Genomic DNA, 6,940 nt, shown 5'->3' on the forward strand with positions numbered 1-6,940 from the left:
AGCTTTGTTCCGTTGCTGGTGAGGAACTGCGTTCCTTTGGAGGAGGAGAGGCGCTCTGTATTTTAGAGTTTCCAGTTTTTCTGTTCTGTTTTTTCCCCATCTTTGTGGTTTTATCTACTTTTGGTCTTTGATGATGGTGATGTACAGATGGGTTTTCGGTGTGGATGTCCTTTCTGTTTGTTAGTTTTCCTTCTAACAGACAGGACCCTCAGCTGCAGGTCTGTTGGAATACCCTGCCGTGTGAGGTGTCAGAGTGCCCCTGCTGGGGGGTGCCTCCCAGTTAGGCTGCTCGGGGGTCAGGTGTCAGGGACCCACTTGAGGCAGTCTGCCCGTTCTCAGATCTCCAGCTGCGTGCTGGGAGAACCACTGCTCTCTTCAAAGCTGTCAGACAGGGACATTTAAGTCTGCAGAGGTTACTGCTGTCTTTTTGTTTGTCTGTGCCCTGCCCCCAGAGGTGGAGCCTACAGAGGCAGGCAGGCCTCCTTGAGCTGTGGTGGGCTCCACCCAGTTGGAGCTTCCTGGCTGCTTTGTTTACCTAAGCAAGCCTGGGCAATGGCGGGCGCCCCTCCTCCAGCCTCGCTGCCGCCTTGCAGTTTGATCTCAGACTGCTGTGCTAGCAATCAGCGAGACTCCGTGGGTGTAGGACCCTCCGAGCCAGGTGTGGCATATAGTCTCGTGGTGCGCTGTTTTTTAAGCCGGTCTGAAAAGCGCAATATTCGGGTGGGAGTGACCCGATTTTCCAGGTGCGTCCCTCACCCCTTTCTTTGACTCGGAAAGGGAACTCCCTGACCCCTTGCGCTTCCCAGGTGAGGCAATGCCTCGCCCTGCTTCGGCTCGCGCACGGTGCGCGCACCCACTGGCCTGCGCCCACTGTCTGGTACTCCCTAGTGAGATGAACCCGGTACCTCAGATGGAAATGCAGAAATCACCCGTCTTCTGCGTCGCTCACGCTGGGCTTTTTTTCTTTTTCAATACTGCTCCTTCTCTATACATTTCCCTCCCTCCCTCCCTCCCCTCCCCTCATTCCCCTCCCCACTTCTTTCCTTCCCTCCCTCCTTCCCTCCCTTCCTTCCTTCCTTCCTTCCTTTTTATTGAGACAGAGTCTTGCTCTGTCATCCAGGCTGGAGTGCAGTGGCGCAATCTCGACTCACTGCAACCTCCATCTCCCGGGTTCAAGGAATTCTCTTGCCTCAGCCTCCTGAGTAGCTGGGATTACAGGTGTGCGCCACCACGCCAGGCTAATTTTTTTGTATTTTCAGTAGATACAGGGTTTCACTATATTGGCCAGGCTGGTCTTGAACTCCTGACCTCAGGTGATCCGCCTGCCTCGGGCTCCCAAAGTGTTGGGATTACAGGCGTGAGTCACTGCGCCCTGTTATACATTTTTTTTCAACAACATATCACATTGTAGCCATCTCCCAGCCACCAAATGAATTATAAAAATACTAACTCTTCCAGATCTGGGTATACACGCCACCTGCTAGTATTTGGTTGGAGAGAAAATTTCTCAGCCTCTTTCTGTGTGGTGATAATGAATACACTCAGCATCCAGCACGTTTTTAGGCATCTTGAGGAGGAGAGCACACCCAGGGTCTGAAATGTCCTTAGAGCGTGAGAGTTTGGACTCAAGAGAGTCTAGAAAAATGCCCAAGTGCTACTTGCATGTGACAGCCAGGCAGATCTGAGTGTATTTATTCTGATAAACCTTAACCCTGAAAACTCAGAGGTAAGTTCTCAGTGTCTCAACAGAAAGAAATATGCAGCCTGGAAGGTAAACATGGAAGATAGAGTGCCTGCATGGAGAAGACACTAACCCAGGAAGATCGTGAGCTCCCCTTTGAATAAGATGTTCCTCCAGGGCAAAGATGACAAGGCTGTCCCTAATGCCTAGCTCACAGTATGTAGTGATCACAAGACCTGCTCAATAAATTTTTGTTGATGAAGCATTATCCATTGTTATATAGATCATCTGAAGCCATATCCTAAAAGGATATACAGTTGTCCCTTAGTATGGGGGAGGATTGGTTTCAGAGCCCCCCCAAACCATACTAAACTCCGAGAATGTTTACATAAAATGATGTAGTATTTGATATAACCTATGCTCACACTCTCACAGACATTAAATAATCTCTAGGTTAGGTATAATATCTAATACAATGTAAATGCTATGCAAGTAATTGTTATACTGTATTGTTTCTAAAGTATGTATTTTTTGTTATATTCTTATTTTTTATTTTTTTCAAGTATTTTCCATCTATAGTTGGTTAAATCTGTGGACACAAAACCAGTGGATATGGAGGGCTAATTACACTGACATAAAAAATAGATTACTCTAGATTTTAAAATTAAGGTATAGATTATGCCCAGCAAGGTTGATGCACAGGAGAAGCTTTGGAACTCAGAATACTTGCATAAAAACCTAGACACCATCTTTTATTTATTTTATTATTATTTTTTGAGATGGAGTCTCGCTCTGTCACCCAGGTTAGAGTGCAATGACACAATCTCGGCTCACTGCAACCTCTGCCTCCCGGGTTCAAGCGATTCTCCTGCCTCAGCCTCCTGAGTAGCTGGAACTACAGGCGCGCACCACCACACCCAGCTAATTCTTGTATTTTTAGTAGAAACGGGGTTTCACCATGTGGTCAGGCTGGTCTCGAACTCCTGACCTCGTGATCTGCTCGCCTTGGCCTCCCAAAATCCTGGGATTACAGGTGTGAGCCACCGCGCCCGGCCTGACACCCTCTTTTAAAGAGGCTCTAACAGCATGGAGGAAAATGCAGCATGGCTTTATTAATAGTTAGTGAAATGGCAGGGCATACACTCTGTAGAATAGCTCCATATGGTGAGAGCAGAAGACTACATCTTTTATTACCCCACCTTCAAAACCGAAAACCTTGTAGTGAAGAGCTGCCAACAGCACACTGCAAAATGACAAAAGCCCCATAGCACAATGAACTGCTAGATTGTATTACGCTCTGCACATAGAGCAGGAAAATCCCACTTATCATGTAATCATACACACGTGTTATCCCATGTGTGTGAAGCTCAGCCTACAGCCTGAGATTCCACAGCTAAAATCAAAGGGAACAGGGCATATGTCTGAAGGCAGGAAAGGCAAATACAAAGAGAGCCACGATTTCTCATAAACCAGTCATAAAAGGTCATTTTCCTTATCAAACCAATTAATCTATTTAGCTCAACTGATTCTTTGAGACAGTAAAAATTGCTTACGTATCTTGCAAGCACTGAGGAAAGGATCAGCTTTTCTTTTAAAATCAAGAGTGTTAAGATCATTGCAGATATATGACATTCTTGTTGAAATGTTTTTTGTTTTGAAAGCTATACATGGTAATTGTAGAAATAATTAGAAAATAAAGACAAGAGTTTTTAAGAAATGCCAGTATTTCTTCCCCTAAAAGACAGTAACTTTTAACATTTTGGTGAATATATTTGTGGACCCACAACAATGGGCTGATGCCACGAATATTGTTTTATACTTTTTTCCACTTATAAAGATATTGTGAACAATTCTCCATGATAATATGTATTTTTAAATTAATTAAATTACATACAGAAAAGTATGCATATTGTATCATATCAAGGCATAATTTAACATCATTTTAAAGGTATGGTATTTCATTTCTGGGAATACATCGTAATTTATTTAACTAGTGTATGTATGCATGTATTTATTTATTTTTTGAGACGGAGTCTCTCTCTGTCACCCAGGCTAGAGTGCAGTGGCATGGTCTTGGCTCACTGCAACCTCCACCTCCCGGATTCAAGTGATTCTCCTGTCTTAGCCTCCCAAGTAGCTGGGGCTACAGGCACGCACCACCGCGTCTGGCTAATTTTTGTATTTTTAGTAGAGGCGAAGTTGCACCATGTTGGCCAGGCTGATCTTGAACTTCTCCTGACCTCAGGTGATCTGCCTGCCTTGGCCTCCCAAATTATTTTGTTTTTAGAAATACAAGGTTTCCCTACATCTCCCTTCACTATTATAAAAAAATGCAAAAGAATATCAATGGACATATTGTATATCTTTGCACATATCCCTAAATTATGTCCTTAGGATTACTATTAAAATTGGAATTACTGGTTAAATGAGATGATTTTTTCTAAAGCTTTGCCATATAGCTTTCTGGAATAGTCATACCTGGCTATGCTCCTACCCTCAGTGCACGAGCTTATATGAAGAAAGGGAGGTTGTGTCATTTACAAGTTGCAAAGAGTTTTCTTTCTCTGGAAAGCATGTGTATTTCTTTAAGCATGAATTGCATGAATAAGTCCTTTGGCCTTTTTTTTTTTTTTTTCTACTGGGATGTCTTTGTTTGTGTTGCTATAAAGGAATACCCGAGGCTGGGTAATTCATAAAGAAAAGAGGTTTATTTGGCTCAGGTTCTGCGGGCTGTACAAAAAGCATGGCACCAGTATTTGCTTCTGGCAAGGGCCTCAGGCTGCTTCCACTCATGGCCGAAGGGAAAGGGGAGCTAGAGTGTGCAGAGGTCACAGGGGAGAGCAGAAGCAGGAGAGAGGGGAGGGAGGTGTCAGGCTCTTTTTACAAACCAGTTCTGGATGGAACTAAGAGAGTGAGAGTTCATTTCCGTGAGGACAGCACCAGGACGTTCATGAGGGATCTGTTCCTGTGACCCAAGCATTTCCCATGAGGCCCCACCTCCAACACTGGGGATCACATTTCAACATAAGACTTGGCGGGGCCAAACAAACCGTATCTAACCCATAGCATGGGATATTCGTCTTTTCTTTTCAATTACAATATCTTCTTACGTCATAATGAATTAATCTTTTATCTGACTTATGTGAAGGAATTTTTCTTATTTTATCATTTGCCTTTGAAATATTTATGTATATTTGTGTGTGTGCAGTTGATCCTCATTATTTATGAATTCTGTATTTGCGAATTTACTCACCAAAATTTATTTCTAACTCTATATCAATATTTGTTGCACTTTTTGGTTATGTGTGGACATGCACAGAGCTGTAAAAAATGTGTGTTGCTTGACATGCGTGTTCCCAGATGAAGCAGAACAAGGTTGCTTTACCTTCCTGTTTAATCTGTCATATGGGAAACATGGGGCTTTTTTTCCTCGTCTGTTTAGTGCCACATTTTCCACGTTTGTGCTTTTTGTTGGTGCTTTCATTGTTTCAAATAGCCCCTAAGCATAGTGCTGAAGCGATGTCTTGTGTTCCCAAGCTCGAGAAGGCTGTGATGAGCCTTGTGTTAGATAAGCTTCATTCAGGCATGCATTATTGTGCTGTTGGTCATTAGTTAAATGTTAGTGAATCAACAACATGTAATAAATAAGGTGTCTTTAGACAGAAGCACACATAAAACAAAGTTAAGTATCAATTGGTTGATTAAAATGTTGGGATCCGGCCGGGTATGGTGGCTCACACTTGTAATCCCAGCACTTTGGGAGGCCGAGGTGGGCCGATCACGAGGTCAGGAGATCGAGATCATCCTGGCTAACACGGTGAAACCCCGTCTCTATTAAAAATACAAAAAATTAGTCAGGTGTGGTGGTGGGCGCCTGTAGTCCCAGCTACTCGGGAGGCTGAGGCAGGAGAATGGAGTGAACCCAGGAGGCAGAGCTTGCAGTGAGCCAAGATTGCACCACTGCACTCCAGCCTAGGCGACAGAGTGAGACTCCGTCTCAAAAAAAAAAAAAAAAAAAAGTTGGGATCTGAGGCTTGCAGGAACCCAGCCCTCTATTTTCCTGGGAGCAATGGTTCAATATCACCAATTCAGTGTTCACACATGACTAATGTGAATAATGAGAATCAACTGTATATATATTTTTTCTTCACAGGTAGACATTTACATTTTTTATCTAGACACGTATTTCTTTTTTTAAAATAGATTATGCCTTGGTGATGTGCTTAGTATTGTAAAAACATTTATATTCTAGTCTTCATATTTTCCATGTTGGGGGACCTCTGCTCTAGTGACACCCCTGGACTCTCACTGGACCACCCACTTACCTGAGTGGTGACTTTGGGAACAGAAACAGACCCTTTAACCCTTCTCGAATCTGCCCCCTTCCTGAAAATAGCACATATCCTCTGATCCTTACATTTTATAGGGCACACCTCTTCCCCCAAGGTAAAGGCCTGGAAGTTGAGTACTGCCTGTAATCAAGAAAGTCAACTTTTGAAGTACAGTATTAGCAGGTCCACGGCCATTGCTGACTTAATAACTTAAGAGTATTGCTGAAGCTATAATCTCTAATACCTGCTTTATCAGTGATAATGTTCATTTTCTCACTGACTCCAGGGTTGAGCTCTCAGTTGGTTACAAACTAAGGCAGGAAAAGAAAGCATGTTCTTGTAGTAGCTATCTTTACTTAAAAATTTCTTTTTCACATTAAAAATGTTATTTATATTCACATATGAATATTTATTATTATTACTATTATTATTTCTTGAGACAGAATTTCACTCTCGTCACCCACGCTGGAGTGCAATGGAGTGATCTCAGCTCACTGCAACCTCTGCCTTCCAGGTTCAAGAGATTATCTTTCCTCAGCCTCCCAAGTAGCTGGGATTACAGGCATCCACCACCACACCCAGCTAATTTTCATGTTTTTAGTAGAGACGGGGTTTCTCCATGTTGGCCAGGCTGGTCTCAAACTTGTGACCTCAGGTGATCCGCCCACTTTGGCCTCCCAAAGTGCTGGGATAACAGGCACGAACCACCATGCCTGGCCACACATATGACTTTTTTTTTTTTTTTTTTTTTTTTTGAGATGGAGTTTTGCTCTTGTTGCCCAGGCTGGAGTGCAATGGTGCGATCTCGGCTCGCCGAAACCTCCGCCTCCCGGATTCAAGCGATTCTCCTGCCTCAGCCTCCTGAGTAGCTGGGAATACAGGCATGTGCATCCAAGCCCGGCTAATTTTGTATTTTTAGTAGAGACCA

This window comes from Homo sapiens, chromosome 3 (assembly GCF_000001405.40).
Source record: "Homo sapiens chromosome 3, GRCh38.p14 Primary Assembly".
Lineage (NCBI taxonomy): Eukaryota > Metazoa > Chordata > Mammalia > Primates > Hominidae > Homo > Homo sapiens.